The 25,465-nt window shown below is 36.2% G+C and overlaps 1 protein-coding gene across 50 annotated transcripts in view; it reads left to right on the forward strand.

Annotated features, from left to right (window-relative positions):
• ANKRD36 (ankyrin repeat domain 36) overlaps positions 1-25,465 on the forward strand; it is a 151,369-nt gene that overhangs the window by 84,257 nt on the left and 41,647 nt on the right. For 30 of the 50 annotated variants that reach the window (XR_007074204.1, XM_017004009.2, NM_001354587.1 and 27 more), the window contains 24 exons: positions 1,054-1,082; positions 1,177-1,249; positions 2,925-2,953; positions 3,044-3,116; positions 4,793-4,821; positions 4,912-4,984; positions 6,659-6,687; positions 6,782-6,854; positions 8,531-8,559; positions 8,654-8,726; positions 10,402-10,430; positions 10,525-10,597; positions 12,272-12,300; positions 12,391-12,463; positions 14,137-14,165; positions 14,260-14,332; positions 16,010-16,038; positions 16,133-16,205; positions 17,892-17,920; positions 18,016-18,088; positions 19,768-19,796; positions 19,891-19,963; positions 21,641-21,669; positions 21,765-21,837. Coding sequence is in view for 49 of the 50 variants with exons in the window: in XM_017004009.2 (XP_016859498.1) it covers positions 1,054-1,082; positions 1,177-1,249; positions 2,925-2,953; positions 3,044-3,116; positions 4,793-4,821; positions 4,912-4,984; positions 6,659-6,687; positions 6,782-6,854; positions 8,531-8,559; positions 8,654-8,726; positions 10,402-10,430; positions 10,525-10,597; positions 12,272-12,300; positions 12,391-12,463; positions 14,137-14,165; positions 14,260-14,332; positions 16,010-16,038; positions 16,133-16,205; positions 17,892-17,920; positions 18,016-18,088; positions 19,768-19,796; positions 19,891-19,963; positions 21,641-21,669; positions 21,765-21,837 (1,224 nt within the window). In the remaining variant the exon portion in view is untranslated. The remainder of the gene's footprint in view (positions 1-1,053; positions 1,083-1,176; positions 1,250-2,924; positions 2,954-3,043; positions 3,117-4,792; positions 4,822-4,911; positions 4,985-6,658; positions 6,688-6,781; positions 6,855-8,530; positions 8,560-8,653; positions 8,727-10,401; positions 10,431-10,524; positions 10,598-12,271; positions 12,301-12,390; positions 12,464-14,136; positions 14,166-14,259; positions 14,333-16,009; positions 16,039-16,132; positions 16,206-17,891; positions 17,921-18,015; positions 18,089-19,767; positions 19,797-19,890; positions 19,964-21,640; positions 21,670-21,764; positions 21,838-25,465) is intronic. The other 20 variants (XM_017004011.2, XM_047444232.1, XM_047444237.1 and 17 more) reach the window with 14 other exon arrangements.

Genomic DNA, 25,465 nt, shown 5'->3' on the forward strand with positions numbered 1-25,465 from the left:
GATTGGCATAAAAACACACTGACTCATTACTCTCCTTTGTTACTGTTAGACATCAGAGATATATGTTTTGTTGATTTTAGTTATAGAAATGAGACAAGCTTAAATCTGAATACATTAGTTTCCTTGTTCAAGGAGCTACCTCTTGGATACAACAGCTATTTCATGAAACTTCTTTAGCGAATGACATGATACTCCCAACAAGCCTATTTTAGAAAGAAAAATTATGCTGCATTGTAATTAACTCCTAAACTGGTCATTTTCAATGAGTATTGCTGTGATTTCTGAATGAAAAACTGATCAATATCTAATGCTTGTAGCTGTTTTACTTTGTATAGGTATGTCAAAATTGATAATTGATGATATTTTTATTGAGGCTAAGATACTATCCTTTGGTGCCAAGACTGGATGAAGAAAATTTCGGAAGGCTAAAGTAGTGGATACAAAAAACTTAGGCAGATTATTACTCCATATCGGGGTGAGAGATAATGAGTATTATCTACTAGATATCTGCAAACATATATCCAAGGTGATCAATTTAGGACCCTTCCACTGAAGGGATGTGAAGTGTACTTCAACTGAATTGTCATCGTAATTGTGTGCCTTCTCAGTTATTGGGCAAGTTAAAGAGGATGATGAATGTTTGTAGTATAATGGTGTAAATCCTTTTGATTTGTTGCATGAAAGACATGTGGGTACATGTAGCACCTGCTTTGACATTGATTCTCAGGTGCATGAGTTGCCCCTCTGATTTTAGATCACTTTGTCCTCATCACTCGGCATATCCACGTTGATAGTGACACGGTTTTATTTTAGTTTTTGGCATATGACAAATCATACCATGTTTGAAATTCTAAGACTATATTTCATGGAGCCTGTATTCCCTTTTCTCAGCGTATTTCTGTCACGTTCTAGTCCCCAGACACAAAGTAGAAGCCATCAAAGCGTACACTAATACAGGCAGGAGGACAGAGGTTGATGCTAACACTGTATGAATGTATGGATAATTTTGTCGTTTTTACATATGAGTGATTATGAATCCCTTTTACTTTTCAGTGTCTTCTGAGAAACCACCAGGCTTGAAGGTAATGAAACTGTCATTTATATTGTGACCTAGTAAATGCATAGTCTATGAAACATACTTTATTAATTTATTATTTCATTTCAAATTCCATTCAGGCTTCAAGTGCCGAGAAAGATTCTGTTTTGAATATAGCCAGAGGAAAAAAGGATGGAGAAAAAACTAAGAGAGGTAATTTTGAAAAGAGATTTAATGTCATGTTCAGTGCAGATAGATAAGAAGTTCTCTTCCCTGAATAAATCAGCGGGGGGCTCGTTGAAGCTGCACATTCTGATTCAGCAGTCCTGAGATTCTTCATTTCAAATAAGTTCTTGGGTGATGCTGATGCTGCTGGTCTGGAACATGATCTTCGCAGTAAGATTATACACTTCCCCACATTGAAATTGGGAAGAAGAAATATGGAGAGCAGTTCAAGGCATAAGGGGCTCCGGGGAACAACATAATTTTGCTTTAATTCTCCAGCTTGTTTTCAGTAAGGGTGGAAGGAGAAAGAGAGGAAGTATAGAATTTACACACTTCAGCTCGCACTGCCAAGAAAAGACAGAAAGCTTGTTGTAACAACCCGTAGACACTGTAGGAGAACTAAGGAGACCCCTGGTGTAGCAACTATTTTCCTAAGGAAGATGGATTGTGAGACAGGAAGGTGTGAAAAGAGGAAGTCATTTATATAATTTTGGAGTTTCTGCTGAGGAAACCTGAGTGAACTCACTTCAGATGCATTGGGAATATTTCCATAAGAAATATTTGATTTTGGCTACTCCAGGAACTACTGGAAGCAGGAAACAATGGTATAATTGGAATACACCACACTGACCCCTTACTCTTCTTGTTACTAGGAGGCCTCAGAGATACATGTTTTGTTGATTTTAGTTATAAAAATCAGATAATCTTGAATGTGAATAAATTTTGCTTCCTTGTTCAAGGAGCTACCTGTTGGATAAAATAGCTATTTAATGACACTTCTTTAGAGAATAACACGATACTCCCAACAAGACTATTTTAGACACAAGAATGATGTTGAATTCCAATTAACTCCTAAAATGGTCATTTTCAATGAATATTGCAGTGATTTCTGAATGAAAAACTGAGTAATATCTAATGCTTGTAGCCATTTTACCTTGTAGAAGTATGTCAAAGTTGATAATTGATGATATTTTTATTGAGGCTAATATATTATCCTTCGGTGCCAAGAGTGGATGAAGAAACTTTCGGAAGGGTAAACTAGTGGATACAAGAAACTCAGGCAAATTATTACACTACATGGGTGTGAGAGATAATGAATATTATGTACTAGGTATCAGCAAACAGATATCCAAGGTGATCAATTCAGGACACTTGCACTGAAGAGATGTGAAGTGTACGTTCAACTGGAGTGTCATCGTAATTGTGTGCCTTCTCAGTTATTGGGCAAGTTAAAGAGCATGATGAATGTTTGCAGTATAATGGTGTAAATCCTCTTAATTTGTTGCATGAAAGACATGTGGGATCATGTAGCACCTGTTTTGACATTGATTCTCACGTATATGAGTTGCTCCTCTGATTTTAGATCACATTTGTTCTCATCACTCGGCATATCCACATTGAGATTGACACGGTTTTATTTTAGTTTTCGACACATGACAAATCTTACCATGTTTGAAATCGTAAGGGTGTATTTCACAGAGCCTGTGTTCCCTTTTTTCAGTGTATTTCTGTCATGTTCTGATCCCCAGACACAAAGTAGAAGCCATCAAAGCCTCCACTAATACAAGCAGGAGGACAGAGGTTGATGCTAACACTGTGTGAATCTATGGATAATTTTATCATGTTTACATGTGAGTGATTATGTATCCCTTTTGCTTTTCAGTGTCTTCTCGGAAAAAACCATCCTTGGAGGTAATGAAACTCTCATTCATATTGTGAGCTAGTAAACGTATAGCCTATGAAACATACCTTATTTATTACTTTGTTTCAAATTCCATTCAGGCCACAAGTGATGAGAAGGATTCTTTTTCGAATATAACCAGAGAAAAAAAGGATGGAGAAATATCTAGGAAAGGTAATTTTGCGAAACACATTTAATGTCATGTTCAGTCCAGATAAGAAGTTCTCTTCCCCGAATAAATCAGTCGGGGGCTGGTTGAAGCTGCACGTTCTGATTCACCAAGCTTGAGATTCTTCTTTTCTAACAAGTTCTTGGGTTATGCTGATGCTGCTTGTCTGCAGCATGATCTTCGCTGTAAGATTATACGCATCCCCACATTACAATTGGGAGGAAGAAACATGGAGAGCAGTTGAAGACATAAGGGGCTCTGGGGCCCAGCATAATTTTGCTTTAATTCTGTAGCATCTTTTCATTAAGGGTGTAAGGAGAAAGAGAGGAAGTACAGATTTTACAGACGTCACATCATAGTGCTAAAAACAGACAGAAAACTGTTCATTATAACCCGTAGACACTGTAGAAGGAGAACTGAGAAGACCCCTGATGTAGCAATTATTTTCTGAATGAAGACGGATTGTGAGGCAGGAAGGTGGGAAAAGAGGAAGTCATTTATATAATTTTGTGGTTACTGCTGAGGAAACCTGAGTGAACTCACTTCAGATGCATTTGGAATATTTGCATAAACAATATTTGACTTTGGCAGCTCCAGCAACTGCTGGAAGCAGGAAACAGTGTTTGAATTGGCATAAAAACACAATAACTCATTACTCCTCTTTGTTACTACTAGGCATCAGAGATACATCTTTTGTTGATTTTAGTTATAGAAATGAGATAAACTTGAATATGAATATGTTGGTTTCCTTGTTCAAGGAGCTACCTCTTGGATAAAATAGCTGTTTAATGAAACTTCTATAGAAAATAACATGATACTGCCTACAAGGGTATTCTAGAAACAAAAATTATGTTGCATTCCAATTAAGTCCTAGAGTGATCATTTTCAATGAATATTGGAATGATTTCTGAATGTACAACTTATTAATATCTAATGGTTGTGGCAGTTTTACTTTGTGGAAATATGTCAAAATTGATAATTGATGATATTTTTATTGAGGCTAATATATTATCCTTTGGTGCCATGAGTGGATGAAGAAACTTTTGGAAGTCTAAACTAGTGGATACAAGAAGCTTATGCAAATTATTACACCACATGGGTGGGAGAGATAATGAATATTATGTACTAGGTATCAGCAAAGAGGTATCCAAGGTGATCAATGTAGGACACTTCCACGGAAGAGATGTGAAGTATAAGTTCAACTGAAGCATCATCGCAATTGTGTGCCTTCTCAGTTATTGGGCATGTTAAAGAGCATGATGAATGTTTGTAGTATAATGGTGTAAATCCTTTTGATTTGTTGCATGAAAGACATGTGGGATCATGTAGCACCTGCTTTGACATTGATTCTCAGGTGTGTGAGTTGCTACTCTGATTTTAGATCACATTTGTTCTCATCACTCGGCATATCCACATTGATATTGACATGGTTTTATTTTAGTTTTCGACATATGAGAAATCATACCATGTTTGAAATTGTAAGGGTATATTTCATGGAGCCTGTATTCGCTTTTCTCAGTGTATTTCTGTCACGTTCTAGTCCCCAGACACAAAGTAGAAGCCATGAAGGCCTATGCTAATACAGGCAGGAGGACAGAGGTTGATTCTAACAGTGCTCGAATGTATGGAAATCTTTGTCATATTTACGTATGACTGATTATGAATCCCTTTTGCTTTTCAGTGTCTTCTCAGAAACCACCAGCCTTGAAGGTAATGAAACTCCCATTTATCTTGTGAACGAGTTAATGTATGGTCTATGAAACATACTTTATTTATTATTTCGTTTTAAATTCCATTCAGGGTACAAGTGACGAGGAAGATTCTGTTTTGGGTATAGCCAGAGAAAACAAGGATGGAGAAAAATCTAGGACAGGTAATTTTGAAAACAGATTTAATGTCATGTTCAGTCCAGGTAGATAAGAAGTTCTCTTCCCCAAATAAATCAGCGGGGGGCTCGTCGAAGCTGCACTTTCTGATTCAGCAGGCTGGAGATTCTTCATTTGTAGTAAGTTCTTGGGTGATGCTGATGCTGCTGGTCTGGAACATGATCTTCGCTGTAAGATTATACACTTCCCCACATTGAAGTTGGGAAGAATATACATGGAGAGCAGTTGAAGACATAAAGGGCTCTGGGGAACAGCATAGTTTTGCTTTAATCCTCCAGCTTGTTTTCAGTAAGGGTGGAAGGAGAAAGAGAGGAAGTATCGATTTTACAGACGTCACATCGTACTGCTAAAAACAGACAGAAAACTTCTTGTAATAACCCGTACACACTGTAGGAGAAGTAAGGAGACCCTTGTTGTAGCAATCATTTTGCCAAAGAAGACGGATTGTGAGGCAGGAAGGGGTGAAAAGAGGAAGTCATTTGTATAATTTTGGGGTTTCTGCTGAGGAAACCTGAGTGAACTCACTTCAGATGCATTTGGAATATTTTAATAAAAAATACTTGATTTTGGCTGCTGCAGGAACTGCTGGAAGAAGGAAGCAATCCTAGAACTGGCATAGAAACACACTGACTCATTACTCCCCTTTGTAACTATTAGGCATCAGAGATACATGTTTTGTTGATTTTAGTTATATAATTGAGACAAACTTGAATCTGAATACATTGGTTTCCTTGTTCAAGGAGCTACCTCTTGGATACCATAGCTATTTCATGAAACTTCTTTAGAGAACAACATGATACTCCCAAGAAGGCTATTTTAGAAACAAAAATTATGCTGGATTCTAATTAACTCCTAAAATGCTCATTTTCAATGGGTATTGCAGTGATTTCTGAATGAAAAACTGATCAATATCTAATGCTTGTAGCAGTTTCACTTTGTATGTGTATGTCAAATTTGATAATTGATGATATTTTTATTGAGGCTAATATATTATCCCTTCGTGCCACGACTGGATGAAGAAACTTTTGGAAGGCTAAACTAGTGGATACAAGAAACTTAGGCAGATTATTACACCATATGGGGGTGAGAGATAATGAATATTATCTACTAGGTATCAGCAAACAGATATCCAAGGTGATGAATGTAGGACACTTCCACTGAAGAGATGTGAAGTGTACGTTCAACTGAATTGTCATGGTAATTGTGTGCCTTCTCAGTTATTGGGCAAGTTAAAGAGCATGATGAATGTTTGTAGTATAATGGTGTAAATCCTTTTTATTTCCTGTATGAAAGACATGTGGGATCATGTAGCACCTGCTTTGACATTGATTCTGACGTGTATGAGTTGCTCCTCTGATTTTAGATCACTTTGTCCTCATCACTCGGCATATCCACATTGATATTGACACGGTTTTATTTTAGTTTTTCACATATGACAAATCATACCATGTTTGAAATTCTAAGACTATATTTCATGGAGCCTGTATTGCTTTTCTCAGCGTATTTCTGTCACGTTCTAATCCCCAGACCAAAATTAGAAGCCATCAAAGCATACGCTAATACAGGCAGGAGGACAGAGGCTGATGCTAACACTGCATGAATGTATGGATAATTTTGTCATTTTTACATATGAGTGATTAGGAATCCCTTTTACTTTTCAGTGTCTTCTGAGAAACCACCAGGCTTGAAGGTAATGAAACTGTCGTTTATATTGTGAACTAGTAAATGTATAGTCTACGAAACATACTTTATTAATTTATTATTTCATTTCAAATTCCATTCAGGCTACAAGTGATGAGAAAGATTCTGTTTTGAATATAGCCAGAGGAAAAAAGGATGGAGAAAAAACTAGGACAGGTAATTTTGAAAAGAGATTTAATGTCATGTTCAGTGCAGATAGATAAGAAGTTCTCTTCCCTGAATAAATCAGCGGGGGGCTCGTTGAAGCTGCACATTCTGATTCAGCAGTCCTGAGATTCTTCATTTCAAATAAGTTCTTGGGTGATGCTGATGCTGCTGGTCTGGAACATGATCTTCACAGTAAGATTATACACTTCCCCACATTGAAATTGGGAAGAAGAAATATGGAGAGCAGTTCAAGGCATAAGGGGCTCCGGGGAACAACATAATTTTGCTTTAATTCTCCAGCTTGTTTTCAGTAGGGGTGGAGGGGAAAAGAGAGGAAGTATAGAATTAACACACTTCAGCTCGCACTGCCAAGAAAAGACAGAAAGCTTGTTGTAACAACCCGTAGACACTGTAGGAGAACTAAGGAGACCCCTGGTGTAGCAACAGTTTTCCTAAGGAAGACGGATTGTGAGGCAGGAAGGTGTGAAAAGAGGAAGTCATTTATATAATTTTGGGGTTTCTGCTGAGGAAACCTGAGTGAACTCACTTCAGATGCATTTGGAATATTTTCATAAAAAATATTTGATTTTCGCTGCTCCAGCAACTGCTGGAAGCAGGAAACAGTGGTTGAATTGGCATAAAAACACAATAACTCATTACTCCTCTTTGTTACTATTAGGCATCAGAGATACACGTGTTGTTGATTTTAGTTATAGAAATGAGATAAACTTGAATATGAATACATTGGCTTCTTTGTTCAAGGAGCTACCTCTTGGATAAAATAGCTGTTTAATGAAACTTCTTTAGAAAATAACATGATATTGCCAACAAGGGTATTTTAGAAACAAAAATTATGTTGCATTCCAATGAAGTCCTAGAGTGATCATTTTCAATGAATATTGGAATGATTTCTGAATGTAAAACTTATTATTGTCTAATGGTTGTGGCAGTTTTACTTTGTAGAAATATGTCAAAATTGATAATTGATGATATTTTTATTGAGGCTAATATATTATCCTTTGGTGCCATGAGTGGATGAAGAAACATTTGGAAGGCTATACTAGTGGATACAAGAAAGTTAAGCAAATTATTACACCACATGGGTGTGAGAGATAATGAATATTATGTACTAGGTATCAGCAAAGAGGTATCCAAGGTGATCAATTTAGGACACTTCCACTGAAGAGATGTGAAGTGTAAGTTCAACTGAAGCATCATCGCAGTTGTGTGCCTTCTCAGTTATTGGGCATGTTAAAGAGCATGATGAATGTTTGTAGTATAATTGTGTAAATCCTATTGATTTGTTGTGTGAAAGACATGTGGGATCATGTAGCACCTGCTTTGACATTGATTCTCAGGTGTGTGAGTTGCTCCTCTGATTTTAGATCACATTTGTTCTCATCACTCGGCCTAAGCACATTGATATTGACACGGTTTTATTTTAGTTTTCGACATATGAGAAATCTTACCACGTTTGAAATTGTAAGGGTATATTTCATGGAGCCTGTATTCCCTTTTCTCAGTGTATTTGTGTCATTTTCTAGTCCCCAGACACAAAGTAGAAGCCATCAAAGCCTATGCTAATACAGGCAGGAGGACAGAGGTTGATGCTAACTCTGCTTGAATGTATGGATATCTTTATCATATTTACATATGACTGATTATGAATCACTTTTGCTTTTCAGTGTCTTCTCAGAAACCACCAACCTTGAAGGTAATGAAACTCCCATTTATATTGTGAACGAGTTAATATATGGTCTATGAAACATACTTTATTTATTTATTATTTTGTTTCAAATTCCATTCAGGCTACAAGTGATGAGGAAGATTCTGTTTTGAGTATAGCCAGAGAAAACAAGGATGGAGAAAAATCTAGGACAGGTAATTCTGAAAACAGATTTAATGCCATGTTCAGTCGAGATAGATAAGAAGTTCTCTTCCCCAAGTAAATCAGCGGGGGGCTCATCGAAGCTGCACTTTCTGATTCAGCAGGCCGGAGATTCTTCATTTGTAGTACGTTCTTGGGTGATGCTGATGCTGCTGGTCTGGAACATGATCTTCGCTGTAAGATTATACACTTCCCCACGTTGAAGTTGGGAAGAAGATATATGGAGAGCAGTTGAAGACATAAGGGTCTCTGGGGAACAGCATAGTTTTGCTTTAATCCTCCAGCTTGTTTTCACTAAGGGTGGAAGGAGAAAGAGAGGAAGTATCGATTTTACAGATGTCACATCATACTGCTAAAAACAGACAGAAAACTTGTTGTAATAACCCGTACACTCTGTAGGAGAACTAAGGAGACCCCTGGTGTAGCAATCACTTTCCCAAAGAAGACGGATTGTGAGGCAGGAAGGTGTGAAAAGAAGAAGTCATTTATATAATTTTGGGGTTTCTGCTGAGGAAACCTGAGTGAACTCACTTCAGATGCATTTGGAATATTTTAATAAAAAGTACTTGATTTTGGCTGCTTCAGGAACTGCTGGAAGAAGGAAGCAATCCTAGAATTGGCATAAAAACACACTGACTCATTACTCCCCTTTGTTACTATTAGGCATCAGAGATACATGTTTTGTTGATTTTAGGTATAGAAATCAGACAAACTTGAATCTGAATACATTGGTTTCCTTGTTCAAGGAGCCACCTCTTGGATACAATAGCTATTTCATGAAACTTCTTTAGGGAACAACATGATACTCCCAAGAAGGCTATTTTAGAAACAAAAATTATGCTGGATTCTAATTAACTCCTAAAATGCTCATTTTCAATGAATATTGCAGTGATTTCTGAATGAAAAACTGATCAATATCTAATGCTTGTAGCAGTCTTACTTTGTATGTGTATGTCAAAATTGATAATTGATGATATTTTTATTGAGGCTAATATATTATCCTTTGTTGCCATGACTGGATGAAGAAACTTTCGGAAGGCTAAACTAGTGGATACAAGAAACTTAGGCAGATTATTGCACCATATGGGGGTGAGAGATAATGAATATTATCTACTAGGTATCAGCAAACAGATATCCAAGGTGATGAATTTAGGTCACTTCCACTGAAGAGATGTGAAGTGTACGTTCAACTGAATTGTCATGGTAATTGTGTGCCTTCTCAGTTATTGGGCAAGTTAAAGAGCATGATGAATGTTTGTAGTATAATGGTGTAAATCCTTTTTATTTCCTGCATGAAAGACATGTGGGATCATGTAGCACCTGCTTTGACATTGATTCTCAGGTGTATGAGTTGCTCCTCTGATTTTAGATCACTTTGTCCTCATCACTCGGCATATCCACGTTGATATTGACACGGTTTTATTTTAGTTTTTCACATATGACAAATCATACCATGTTTGAAATTCTAAGACTATATTTCATGGAGCCTGTATTCCATTTTCTCAGCGTATTTCTGTCATGTTCTAGTCCCCAGACACAAAGTAGAAGCCATCAAAGCCTACGCTAATACAGGCAGGAGGACAGAGGTTGATGCTAACACTGTATGAATGTATGGATAATTTTGTCATTTTTACACATGAGTGATTATGAATCCCTTTTACTTTTCAGTGTCTTCTGAGAAACCATCAGGCTTGAAGGTAATGAAACTGTCATTTATATTGTGAACTAGTAAATGTATAGTCTATGAAACATACTTTATTAATTTATTATTTCATTTGAAATTCCATTCAGGCTACAAGTGCCGAGAAAGATTCTGTTTTGAATATAGCCAGAGGAAAAAAGTATGGAGAAAAAACTAAGAGAGGTAATTTTGAAAAGAGATTTAATGTCATGTTCAGTGCAGATAGATAAGAAGTTCTCTTCCCTGAATAAATCAGCGGGGGGCTCGTTGAAGCTGCACATTCTGATTCAGCAGTCCTGAGATTCTTCATTTCAAATAAGTTCTTGGGTGATGCTGATGCTGCTGGTCTGGAACATGATCTTCGCAGTAAGATTATACACTTCCCCACATTGAAATTGGGAAGAAGAATTATGGAGAGCAGTTCAAGGCATAAGGGGCTCTGGGGAACAACATAATTTTGCTTTAATTCTCCAGCTTGTTTTCAGTAAGGGTGGAAGGAGAAAGAGAGGAAGTATAGAATTTACACACTTCAGCTCGTACTGCCAAGAAAAGACAGAAAGCTTGTTGTAACAACCCGTAGACACTGTGGGAGAACTAAGGAGACCCCTGGTGTAGCAACAGTTTTCCTAAGGAAGACGGATTGTGAGGCAGGAAGGTGTGAAAAGAGGAAGTCATTTATATAATTTTGGAGTTTCTGCTGAGGAAACCTGAGTGAACTCACTTCAGATGCATTTGGAATATTTTCATAAAAAATATTTGCTTTTAGCTGCTCCAGGAACTACTGGAAGCAGGAAACAGTGGTATAATTGGAATACACCACACTGACCCATTACTCCTCTTGGTTACTAGGAGGCATCAGAGATACATGTTTTGTTGATTTTAGTTATAAAAATGAGATAATCTTGAATGTGAATAAATTTGCTTCCTTGTTCAAGGAGCTACCTCGTGGATAAAATAGCTATTTAATGTAACTTCTTTAGAGAATAACACGATACTCCCAACCAGACTATTTTAGACACAAGAATGATGTTGAATTCTAATTAACTCCTAAAATAGTCATTTTCAATGAATATTGCAGTGATTTCTGAATGAAAAGCTGATTAATATCTAATGCTTGTAGCCATTTTACTTTGTAGACGTATGTCAAAGTTGATAATTGATGATATTTTTATTGAGGCTAATATATTATCCTTTGGTGCCAAGAGTGGATGAAGAAGCTTTCGGAAGGCTAAACTAGTGGATACAAGAAACTTAGGCAAATTATTACACTACATGGGTGTGAAAGATAATGAATATTATCTACTAGGTATCAGCAAACAGATATCCAAGGTGATCAATTCAGGACACTTCCACTGAAGAGATGTGAAGTGTACTTTCAACTGGAGTGTCATTGTAATTGTGTGCCTTCTCATTTATTGGGCAAGTTAAAGAGCATGAAGAATGTTTGTAGTATAATGGTGTAAATCCTTTTGATTTGTTGCATGAAAGACATATGGGATCATGTAGCACCTGTTTTGACATTGATTCTCACGTATATGAGTTGTTCCTCTGATTTTAGATCACATTTGTCCTCATCACTCGGCATATCCACATTGAGATTGACACGGTTTTATTTTAGTTTTTGACACGTGACAAATCATATAATGTTTGAAATTGTAAGGGTATATTTCATGGAGCCTGTGTTCCCTTTTTCAGTGTATTTCTGTCATGTTCTGATCCCCAGACACAAAGTAGAAGCCATCAAAGCCTCCACTAATACAGGCAGGAGGACAGAGGTTGATGCTAACACTGTGTGAATGTATGGATAACTTTATCATATTTACATGTGAGTGATTATGTATCCCTTTTGCTTTTCAGTGTCTTCTCGGAAAAAACCAGCCTTGAAGGTAATGAAACTCTCATTCATATTGTGAGCTAGTAAACGTATAGCCTATGAAAGATACCTTACTTATTATTTCATTTCAAATTCCATTCAGGCTACAAGTGACGAGAAAGATTCTGTTTTGTATATAGCCAGAGAAAAAAAGGATGGAGAAAAATCTAGGACAGGTAATTTTGAAAACAGATTTAATGTCATGTTCAGTCCAGATAGGTAAGAAATTCTCTTCCCTGAATAAATCAGCGGAGGGCTCGTTGAAGCTGCACATTCTGATTCAGCAGTCCTGAGATTCTTCATTTCAAATAAGTTCTTGTGTGGTGCTGATGCTGCTGGCCTGGAACATGATCTTCGCTCTAAGATTATACCCTTCCCCACATTGAAATTGGGAAGAAGAAATACGGAGAGCAGCTCAAGACATAAGGGGCTCTGGGGAACAACATAATTTTACTTTAATTCTACAGCTTGTTTTCAGTAAGGGTGGAAGGATAAAGAGAGGAAGTATAGATTTTACAGACGTCACATCGTACTGCTAAAAACAGACAGATAACTTGTTGTAATAACCCGTGTACAGTGTAGGAGAACTAAGGAGACCCCTGGTGTAGCAACTATTTTCCTAAGGAAGACGGATTGTGAGGCAGGAAGGCGGAATAAGAGGAATTCTTTTATATAATTTTGGGGTTTCTGCTGAGTAAACCTGAGTGAACTCACTTCAGATGCATTTAGAATATTTTCATTAAAAAATTTGATTTTGGCTGCTCGAGGAACTACTGGAAGCAGGAAACAATGGTATAATTGGAATACACCACACTGACTCATTACTCCTCTTTGTTACTAGGAGGCGTCAGAGATACATGTTTTGTTGATTTTAGTTATAAAAATGAGATAATCTTGAATATGAATAAATTTCCTTCCTTGTTCAAGGAGCTACCTCTTGGATGAAATAGCTATTTAATGAAACTTCTTTAGAGAATAACGTGATACTCCCAAAAAGACTATTTTAGAAACAAAAATGATGTTGAATTCTAATTAACTCCTAAAATAGTCATTTTCAATGAATATTGCAGTGATTTCTGAATGAAAAACTGATTAATATCTAATGCTTGTAGCAGTTTTACTTTGAAGAAGTATGTCAAAGTTGATAATTGATGATATTTTTATTGAGGCTAATATATTATCCTTTGGTGCCATGAGTGGATGAAGAAACTTTTGGAAGTCTAAACTAGTGGATACAAGAAACTTAGGAAAATTATTACACCACATGGGGGTGAGAGATAATGAATATTATCTACTAGGTATCAGCAAGCAGATATCCAAGGTGATCAATTTAGGACACTTCCACTGAAGAGATGTGAAGTGTACGTTCCACTGAAATGTCTTCGTAATTGTGTGCCTTCTCAGTTATTGGGCAAGTTAAAGAGCATGATGAATGTTTGTACTATAATGGTGTAAATCCTTTTGATTTGTTGCATGAAAGACATGTGGGATCCTGTAGCACCTGCTTTGACATTGATTCTCAGGTGTATGAGTTGCTCCTCTGATTTTAGATCACTTTGTCCTCATCACCCGGCATATCGACATTGATATTGACAGGGCTTTATTTTAGTTTTCGACATATGACAAATCATAGCATCTTTGAAATTGTAAGGATATATTTCATGGAGCCTGTATTCCCTTTTTTCAGTGTATTTCTGTCATGTTCTGGTCCCCAGACACAAAGTAGAAGCCGTCAAGGCCTACACTAATACAGGCTGGGGGACAGAGTTTGATGCTAACACTGTATGAATGTATGGATAACTTTATCATATTTACATATGAGTGATTATGTATCCCTTTTGCTTTTCAGTGTCTTCTCCGAAACAACCAGCATTGAAGGTAATTAAGCTCTCATTTATATTTTGAACTATTAACTGTATAGTATATGAAATATACTTTATTTATTGACTGTTTTGTTTCAAATTCTATTCAGGCTATCTGTGACAAGGAAGATTCTGTTCCGAATATGGCCACGGAAAAAAAGGATGAACAAATATCTGGGACAGGTAATTTTGCAAACACATTTAATATGATGTTCGGTCAGGGTAGAAGAGAACTTCTCTTCACCAAATAAAACAGCGGGGGGTTCGTCAAGCCTTCATGTTCTGCTTCAGTATTCCTGAGATTATTCATTTGTAATAAGTTCTCGGGTGACCCTGATGCTGTGGTCCTTGGCCATGATGGAAGTACTAAGATTATAGATGTCTGTACTTTGAAATTGGGAAAAAGAACCATCTGACAGCAATTCAACACATAACAGGCTCAGGGGACAGCATCATTTTGCTTTAATTCTACAGCATGTTTCCATCAAGAGGGAAAAGAGAAAGAGATGAAGTAATAGATATTAGAGGCGTCAGATTGTATTGTGATAAACAGAGGGAAAAGTGATCCTAATACCACAAAAACACTGTAGAATGAGAACTAGCAAGAGCAGTGATGTAGCAATTATTTTCCTCAAGGAATAGGGATTGTGAGTCAGGAAGGAGGGAAAAGTAGTTATTTATGTAATTTGGGATTTCTGCTGAGGAAACCTCAGTGAACTCACTTCAATACATTTGGAACATTTGCATAAAAGAAGATTTGATTTTGGCTGCTCCAGGAACTACTAGAAGCAGGAAACTATGCTAGAATTGGGATAAACCACAGTGACTCATTACTCCTCTTTAGGAGTAATTTACTATTAGGCATCAGAGATACATGTTTTGTTGATTTCAGTTATAAAACTGAGATAAACGAATATGAATACATTGGCTTCAAAGTTCAAGGAGCTAAGTCTTGGATAAAATAGCTATTGAATGAAACTTCTTTAGAGAATAGCATGATACTCCAAAGAAGACTTTTTAGAAACAAAAAATATGTTGAATTCTAATTAACTCCTAAAGTGGTCCTTTCAATGAATATTTGATTGATTTCTGAATGTAAAACTTATTAATATCTAATGCTTGTAGCAGTTTTACTTTGTAGAAATATGTCAACATTGGTAATTGATGATATTTTTATTGAGGCTAATATATTATCCTTTGGTGCCATGAGTGGATGAAGAAACTTTCAGAAGGCTAAACGAGTGGATACAAGAAACTTAGGCAAATTATTACACCACAGGGGTGTGAGAAATAATGAATATTCTCTACTAGGTTTCAGCAAACATAATCCAAGCTGATCAATTTAGGACACTTCCACTGAAGAGACGTGAAGTGTACGTTCAACTGAAGTGTCATTGTAATTGTGTGCCTTCTCAGTTATTGGGCAAGTTAAAGAGCATGATGAATGTTTGTACTATAATGGTGTAAATCCTTCTGATTTCTTGCATGGAAGACATGTGGCATCATGTAGAACCTGCTTTGACATTGATTCTCAATTGTATGAGTTGCTCCTCTGATTTTAGATCACATTTGTCCTCATCACTTGGCATATCCACATTGATATTGACACGGTTTTATTTTAGTTTTAGACATATGACAAATCATGCCATGTTTGAAATTGTAAGTATATTTTGTGAAGCCTGTATTCACCTTTTTCAGTGTATTTCTGTCATATTCCAGTCCCGAGTCACAAAGTAGAAAACATCAAAGCCTATACTAATACAGGCAGGAAGATACATCTTGATGCCAACAGTGCAGGAATGTATGGATAACTTTATCATATTTACATATGAGTGATTATGTATCCCTTTTGCTTTTCAGTGTCTTGTCAGAAACAACCAGCCTTGAAGGTAATTAAACTCTCATTTATATTGTGAACTATTAACTGTGTGGTCTATGAAACATAGTTTATGTATTGATTATTTTGTTTCAAATTCCATTCAGGCTACAAGTGACAAGAAAGATTCTGTTTCGAATATACCCACAGAAATAAAGGATGGACAACAATCTGGAACAGGTAATTTTGCAAAACACATTTAATGTCATGTTCAGTCCAGATAGAAAAGTACTTCTCTTCCCCGAACAAATCAGTGTGGGGCTCATCAAAACTGCACATTCTGATTCAGCAGGCCTGACATTCTTCATTTTTAATAAGTTCTTGGGTGACGCTGATGCTGCTGGTCTTGGACATGATCTTTGCAGTAAGATTATAGACTTCCCCACATTGAAATTGGGAAGAAGAAATATGGAGAGCAGTTCAAGACATAAGGGGCTCAGGGGAACAGCATAATTTTGCTTTAATTCTACAGCATGTTTTCAATAAGGGTAGAAGGAGAAAGACATGAAGTATATATTTTACAGACGTCACATCATACTGCTATAAAAAAGACAGAATAGTGATCCTAATAACCTGTAGACGCTGTAGAATGAGAACTAAGGAGACCACTGATATAGCAATGATTTTTCCCAAGGAAGAGGGATTGTGAGGCAGGAAGGAGGGAAAAGAAGAAGTTATTTATGTAATTTTGGGGTTTCTGCTGAGGAAACCTGAGTGGACTCACTTCAGAGGCATTTAGCATATTTGCATAAAGAAGATTTGATTTTGGCAGCTGCTGGAACTACTGGGTGCAGGAGATAATGCTAGAATTGGGATAAACTTCATTTACTAATTACTCTTCTTTGTTACTGTTAGATATCAGACTTAAACACGTTTTGTTGATTTTAGTTTTTTATAGAAGTTAGATAAACTTGAATATGAATACATTGGCTTCATTGATCAAAGAGCTGACTCTTGGATAAAATAGGTATTTAATGAATATTCTTTAGAGAATAGCATGATATTCCTAACAAGACTATTTTAGAAACAAAAATAATGTTGAATTCAACAACTGACTCCTAAAATGGTAATTTTCAATGAATATTGGAGTGATTTCCAAGTGTAAAAGCTTATTAATATCCAATACTTGTAGCAGTTTTATTTAGTAGAATTATGTCAAAATTGATAATTGATGATGCTTTTTATTGAGGTTATATATTATACTTTGTTGCCACGAGTGGATGAAGAAATGTTCAAAAGGCTAAACTAGAGAATACAAGAAGCTTAGGCAAATTATTACAGCACATGGGTGTGAGAAATAATGAATTATTTACTTGGATTCAGGAAACATACATCCACGTTGATCGATTTAGGTCCCTTCCACTTAAGAGATGTGAAGTGCACGTTCAAGTGAAGTGTCATTGTAATTGTGTACCTTCTCAGTTATTGGGCAAGTTAAAGAGCATGTTGAATGTTTGCAGTATAATGGTTTAATCATTCGGATATCTTGCATGAAAGTCATGCGGGTGCATGTACCACCTGCTTTGACATTGATTCCCAGGTGATTAGTTTCTTCTGTGATTTTAGACCACATTTGTCCTCATCACTCGGCATATCCTTATTGAAATTGACACTTTTATTTTAGTTTTAGTCATATGACAAATCATACTACGTTTGAAATGCTTAGTGTATATTTCTTGAAACCTGTATTCCTGTTTTCTTCAGTGTATTTCTGTCATGTTCCCATCCCAAAACACAAAGTATAAAGCATCAAAGCCTACACTAATAACTGCAGACAGAGGCAGCTTGATGCTAACACTGCATGAATGTTTGAATAACTTTATCATATGCACATATGAGTGATTATGTATCTGTTTTGCTTTTCAGTGTCTTCTCAGAAACAACCGGCCTGGAAGGTAATTAAACACTCATATATATTTTGAACTATTAACTGTATAGTCTATGAATATATACTTTATGTATTGATTATTTTGTTTCAAATCCCATTCAGGCTACAAGTGTCAAGAAAGATTCTGTTTCGAATATAGCCACAGAAATAAAGGATGGACAAATACGTGGGACAGGTATTTTGGAATACACCTTTAATGTAATGTTCGATCAAATAGAAGAGAAATTCACTTCCCTAAATAAATCAGCGGGGGGTTCATTGAAGTTTTATGTTTGGATTCAGCATGCCTGAGATTCTTCATTTGTAATAAGTCCTCAGGTGACCCTGATGGTGCTGGTCCTTGACCATGATCTGAGTAGTAAGATTGTAGACTTCCCTACATTGAAATTGGGAAGAAGAGCCATAGGAGAGCGGTTCAGCACATAACAGCCTCAGGGGACAGCATCATTTTGCTTTAATTCTACAGCAAGTTTCCATCAAGAGGGGAAGGAGAAAGAGATGAAGTAATAGATATTATAGGCGTCAGATCATATTGTTATAAACAGAGGGAAAAGTGATCCTAATACCTCAAAAACAGCATAGAATGAGAACGAACAAGATCACTGAAGTAGTAATTATTTTCCGCAAGGAAGAGGGATTGTGAGGCAGGAAGGAGAGAAAAGAAGAAGTTATTTATGTAATTTTGGGGTTTCTGTTGAGGAAAGCTGAGTGAACTCACTTCAGATAAATTTGGAATATTTGCATAAAAGAATATTAAATTTTGGCTTCTCCAAGAACTACTGGAAGCAGGAAACAATGCTAGAATTGGGATAAAGCACACTGACTCGTTACTCCTCTTTGTTACTGTTAGGCATCAGAGATACATGTTTTGTTGATTTTAGTTATAAAAATGAGATAAACTTGAATATGAATACATTGGCTTCATTGTTCAAGGAGCTAACTCTTGGGTAAAATAGCTATTGGATGAAACTTCTTTAGAGAATAGCATGATACTCCCAACAAGACTATTATAGAAACAAAAAGTATGTGGAATTCTAATTAACTCCTAAAGTGGTCATTTTCAATGAATATTGGAGTGATTTGTGAATGTAAAACATATTAATATCTAACGCTTGTAGCAGTTTTACTTTGTAGAAGTATGTCAAAATTGATAATTGATGATATTTTTATTGAGGCTAATATATTATCCTTTGGTGCCATGAATGGATGAAGAAATTTTGGAAGGCTAAACGAGTGGATACAAGAAACTTAGGCAAATTATTACACCACGTGGGTGTGAGGAATAATAAATATTATCTACTCAGTTTCAGCAAACAGATATCCAAGGTGATCAATTTAGGACACTTCCACTGAAGAGACGTGAAGTGTACATTCAACTGAAGTGTCATTGTAATTGTGTACCTTCTCAGTTATGGGGCAAGTTAAAGAGCATGATGAATGTCTGTAGTATAATGGTGTAAATCCTTTTGATTTCTTGCATGAAAGACCTGTGGGATCAAGTACCACCTACTTTGACATTGATTCTCAATTGTATGAGTTGATCCTCTGATTTTAGATCACATTTGTCCTCATCACTCAGCATATCCACGTTGATATTGACACGGTTTTATTTTAGTTTTAGACATATGACAAATCATACCATGCTTGAAATTGTAAGTATATTTTTCATGAAGGCTGTATTACTTTATTCAGTGTATTTCTGTCATGTTCCAATCCCCAGACACAAAGTAGGAAACATCAAATCCTACCCTAATACAGGCAGAAGGATACAGCTTGATGCTAACACTGCATGAATGTATGGACGACTTTGTCATATTTACATATGATGAATTATATATTTCTTTTACTTTTCAGTGTCTCCTCAGAAACAATCGGCCCAGAAGGTAGTTACTCTTTCATTTATATTTTGAATTATTTATTGCATAGCCTATGAAATATATATTATGTATTGACTATTTTGTTTCTCTTTCCATTCAGGTTATATTTAAAAAGAAAGTTTCTCTTTTGAATATTGCCACAAGAATAACAGGCGGTTGGAAATCTGGAACAGGTAATTTAGCAATATACATTTAATGTCATGTGCACTCAAGATAGAAGACAACATCCCACCCCTGAATAGATCAGCAGGGTGCTCATTGAAAATGCACTTTCTGATTCAGCAGGCCTGAGATTGTGCATTTCTACTGAGTTGTCAGGTGTTGTTGATGCTGCTGGTCCTTGGCCATGATCTTAGTAACAAGCTTATAGACTTCCCTACATGGAAATTGTGTAGAAGAACCATTGGAAAACAGTTCAAGACATAAGAGATAAGAGGATCCGGGGACAGCATAATTTTGCTCTTATTTCAGAGCATGTTTCTATGGAAAGGGGAAGGAGAAAGAGAAAAAAGTAATAGAAATTATAGATGTCAGATGGTACTACTTAAACCAGAGGGAGGAAGTTGTCATAATAACCCATAAACACTGGAGAATGAGGAGCAAGGTGACCACTGATGTAGTAATTATTTTCATCAAGAAAGAGGGATTGCAAGGCAAGAAAGAGGGGAAGGAAGAAGTTATTTAGGTAATTTTGGGGTTTCTGCTGAGGAAGCCTGAGTGAACTCACTTCAGATGCATTTTGAATATTTGCATACCGGATCATCTGATTTCTGGCTGCTCCAATGACTACTGGAATCAGGAAGGAGTGCTAGAATTGGGATAAACCACAGTGCCTCATTATTCATGTTTCTTAGTATCAGACATCACACATATATTTTTTATTAGTTATTCAAATGAGTTGAAGTTTAATATGAATATTTAGTTTTTTTCCAAAGTGCTGGCTGTCTTGTTAAAATAGCTATTTAATGAAAATTCTTTATAGTAAAGTGATATTCCAGAGCAGACTAATTTTACAGACAAAAATAATGTTGAATTCATTAATTGAATCCTAAAGTGATTATTTTCAATGAATATTAGACTGATTTCCAAATGTATAAGTTTATTAATATCTAATGCCTGGAGTAATTCCATTTTGTATAAATATGTATAATTTATTATACTTTTTGATGGGGTTTATATATTATACCTTCTTGCCATTAGTGGATGAAGAAAGTTTCTGAAGGCTAAACTAGAGGATATAAGAAATGTAGGCAGATTATTACACCACATGGGCATGATAAATAATGAATATTAACTACTAGGATTCACCAAACATATATCCAAGCAGATCAATTCAGGACACTTACACTGAAGACACGTGAAGTGTATGTTCAACTGAAGTGTCATTGTAATTGTGTACCTTCTCAGTTATCAGACAAGCTATAGAGCATGATGAATGTTTATGTTATACTGGTATAAAGCCTTCTGATGTCTTGTATGAAAGTCATGCAGTCGCAGTTAGCACTAGCTTTTACACTTATTTCTAGGGTTATGACTTGCTCCTCTGATTTTAGATCACATTTCTCCTTGTTAATCAGTATACCCACATTGATATTAACACTTTTTTTTAGCAATAGATGTGGTGCATAATCTCACTTTTTAACTTGTAACTGTATGTTTTGAAGCTTGTATTCCTATTTTCTTCATTGCATTTCTATCATATTACTGTCCCAAAGAAACAAACTAGAAAAATATGAAACCCTACACTAATACAGGCAAGAGTATTCAGTTTGATGCTAACACTCCACGAATGTATGGTTGGCCTTACCATATTTACATATGATTGATTATATATTTCTCTTGCTTGTTAGAGTATCCTGAGAATCTGCCCACCTTGAAGGTAATTACTCTTACATTTATATTTTTAATTATTAACTGCATAACCTATACCAATATACATCATGTGCTAATCACTTTGTTTTAAAACCCATTCAGGCTACAATTGAAAATAAAAATTCTGTTCTGAATACAGCCACCAAAATGAAGGATGTACAAACATCCACACCAGGTAAACTTTGCATTGTAGATTTAACTCTGGAAAGAAGTACATTAATCTGTTTGTAATGCTCATAGTCTTTCTATTCTCAATTATTTCACTTTTTATATTTTATTTCAGGATTTCATCTAAATAATGCAGCTGTTATCATTTTTATTTATATTTTCAAAAATGAGATTTACATGCATAAAGAAAATATATTTTTAAAACATAAGGTTTTTTTGTTTTGTTTTGTTTTTTGTTTTGTTTTGTTTTTTGTTTTTGGAGACAGAGCTTTGCTCTTGTTGCCCAGGGTGGAGTGCAATGGCTCAATTGTAACTCACGACAACCTCCACCTTCCTGGTTCAAGCAATTCTCTTGCCTCAGCCTCCCGAGTAGCTGGGATTACAGGTATGCCCCACCATGCCCGGCTAATTTTGTATTTTTAGTAGAGACAGGCTTTCTCCATGTTGGTCAGGCTGGTCTTGAGCTCTCGACCTCAGGTGATCCTCCCGCCTCGCCCTCCCAAAGTGCTGGGATTACAGGTGTGAACCACCATGCCTGGCCTAAAAATATAAGGTTTTATTCAGATGTTTCTACTTTTACATTTTGATACTCTGAAGTTTCCAATTTGGAATTTCAATAGTTTTTAGCGAATTAAAGAGATCAATTTTGATACTGTAAAATATTTGTTTTGCTTTAAAAGTCAATTAAAATTATGGCTTTTAGCTAATGAAATGTTTTATTTTGTAACATATTTTGTTTTAACTTTTATTGGTTCTGGTCAATTTTGTTACACTTATTATATTAAGCCAATCGGATGTTCTGATTAGCACACTGTGTGTGTGTGTGTGTGTGTGTGTGTGTGTGTGTTTTATTTTTTTGTTTTTAATTTTAATGAGTAAATTGTAGGTGTTTATGTTTATGGAGTAGATGAGATAGTTTGATACAGGCATACAATGTGTAATAATGACATCATGGTTAATGGGTTATCCATCACCTCAAGCATTAACCATTTCTTTGTGCTATCTTTTCATTTGTACTTCCTCAGTAATGCTAAAATGGACAAGTTATTGCTGACTGTAGTCATGTTTTTGTGCTATAAAATGCTACATTTTATTCATTGTTTCTAACTATAGTTTGTACTTATTAAGCATCCTCATTTCCTACCACCCCCACACCCTTCCTAGACTGTGGTAATGGTGATTTTTCTCTTCATCTCCATGAGCTCTATTTTTTAAATTTCTCACACCCACAAAGGATTGACAACATGTGAAGCCTTCCTTTCTTTGCCTGGATTATTTTACTTGACATAATGTCCTCCTGTTCCATCCATGTCATTGCGAATGAGAGGATCTTATTCTTTCACATGGCTGAGCCGTATATGTATCACATTTTTAGAACCCATTTTTCTGTTGATGTACATTTAGGTTGATTCCAAATTATGGCTATTGTGAAAAGTGCTGCAATAAACATGTCAGGACAGATTTCTCTTTTATAATACTGATTTTCTTGCTTTTTTTTTTTTTTTTTTAATTTTTAATTTTCTTTTTTTTTTTTAATTTTTTTTTTTTTTATTATACTCTAAGTTTTAGGGTACATGTGCACATTGTGCAGGTTAGCTATATATGTATACATGTGCCATGCTGGTGCGCTGCACCCACTAACGTGTCATCTAGCATTAGGTATATCTCCCAATGCTATCCCTCCCCCCTCCCCCGACCCCACCACAGTCCCCAGAGTGTGATATTCCCCTTCCTGTGTCCATGTGATCTCATTGTTCAATTCCCACCTATGAGTGAGAATATGCAGTGTTTGGTTTTTTGTTCTTGCGATAGTTTACTGAGAATGATGATTTCCAATTTCATCCATGTCCCTACAAAGGACATGAACTCATCATTTTTTATGGCTGCATAGTATTCCATGGCATATATGTGCCACATTTTCTTAATCCAGTCTATCATTGTTGGACATTTGGGTTGGTTCCAAGTCTTTGCTATTGTGAATAGTGCCGCAATAAACATACGTGTGCATGTGTCTTTATAGCAGCATGATTTATAGTCCTTTGGGTATATACCCAGTAATGGGATGGCTGGGTCAAATGGTATTTCTAGTTCTAGATCCCTGAGGAATCGCCACACTGACTTCCACAATGGTTGAACTAGTTTACAGTCCCACCAACAGTGTAAAAGTGTTCCTATTTCTCCACATCCTCTCCAGCACCTGTTGTTTCCTGACTTTTTAATGATTGCCATTCTAACTGGTGTGAGATGATATCTCATAGTGGTTTTGATTTGCATTTCTCTGATGGCCAGTGATGATGAGCATTTCTTCATGTGTTTTTTGGCTGCATAAATGTCTTCTTTTGAGAAGTGTCTGTTCATGTCCTTCACCCACTTTTTGATGGGGTTGTTTGTTTTTTTCTTGTAAATTTGTTTGGGTTCATTGTAGATTCTGGATATTAGCCCTTTGTCAGATGAGTAGGTTGTGAAAATTTTCTCCCATGTTGTAGGTTGCCTGTTCACTCGGATGGTAGTTTCTTTTGCTGTGCAGAAGCTCTTTAGTTTAATTAGATCCCATTTGTCAATTTTGGCTTTTGTTGCCATTGCTTTTGGTGTTTTGGACATGAAGTCCTTGCCCACGCCTATGTCCTGAATGGTAATGCCTAGGTTTTCTTCTAGGGTTTTTATGGTTTTAGGTCTAACATTTAAATCTTTAATCCATCTTGAATTGATTTTTGTATAAGGTGTAAGGAAGGGATCCAGTTTCAGCTTTCTACATATGGCTAGCCAGTTTTCCCAGCACCATTTATTAAATAGGGAATCCTTTCCCCATTGCTTGTTTTTCTCAGGTTTGTCAAAGATCAGATAGTTATAGATATGTGGCATTATTTCTGAGGGCTCTGTTCTGTTCCATTGATCTATATTTCTGTTTTGGTACCAGTACCAGGCTGTTTTGGTTACTGTAGCCTTGTAGTATAGTTTGAAGTCAGGTAGTGTGATGCCTCCAGCTTTGTTCTTTTGGCTTAGGATTGACTTGGCGATGCGGGCTCTTTTTTGGTTCCATATGAACTTTAAAGTAGTTTTTTCCAATTCTGTGAAGAGATTTTCTTGCTTTTGAATCGTTACCTAGCAATGGGATTGCTGGATCATGTGGGTAGCTGTATTTTTAATTTTTTGAGGACTCTATAGTGTTCTCCATGGTGACTGTACTAATTCACAATGCCACCAATGGTGTAGGAGGGTTCTGCTTTCTCCACATCCTCACCAGCATTTCTTAATGCCTGCCATTTGGATAAAAGCCATTTTAACTGAGGTGAGACGATACCTCATTGTAGCTTTGATTTGCATTTCTGTGATGATCAGTGATGTCGAGCACCTTTCCATATACCTGTTTGCCTTCTGATAGCAGTTTGAAACATAACAGTGTCATTTTGCTACTATTTCTGAGCATGTTTCTAGCCAGAGGGAAAGGAACACAAATTTAGGAAATAGAAATTATACATGTAAGGTACTACTGCTAAATTAAGAGGCTTTCCTCTTCATTTGTGGTGGGAATAATTTATGAGAGCTATATAGAAGTGTTGATATTAGTTAATCAAATGAAATTTATTTGAACTAAGAAACTTTGACTGATTTTACTAAGAAACCTATTTTTTTAA

Source organism: Homo sapiens, chromosome 2 (assembly GCF_000001405.40).
Source record: "Homo sapiens chromosome 2, GRCh38.p14 Primary Assembly".
In the NCBI taxonomy this organism is placed as follows: Eukaryota; Metazoa; Chordata; class Mammalia; order Primates; family Hominidae; genus Homo; species Homo sapiens.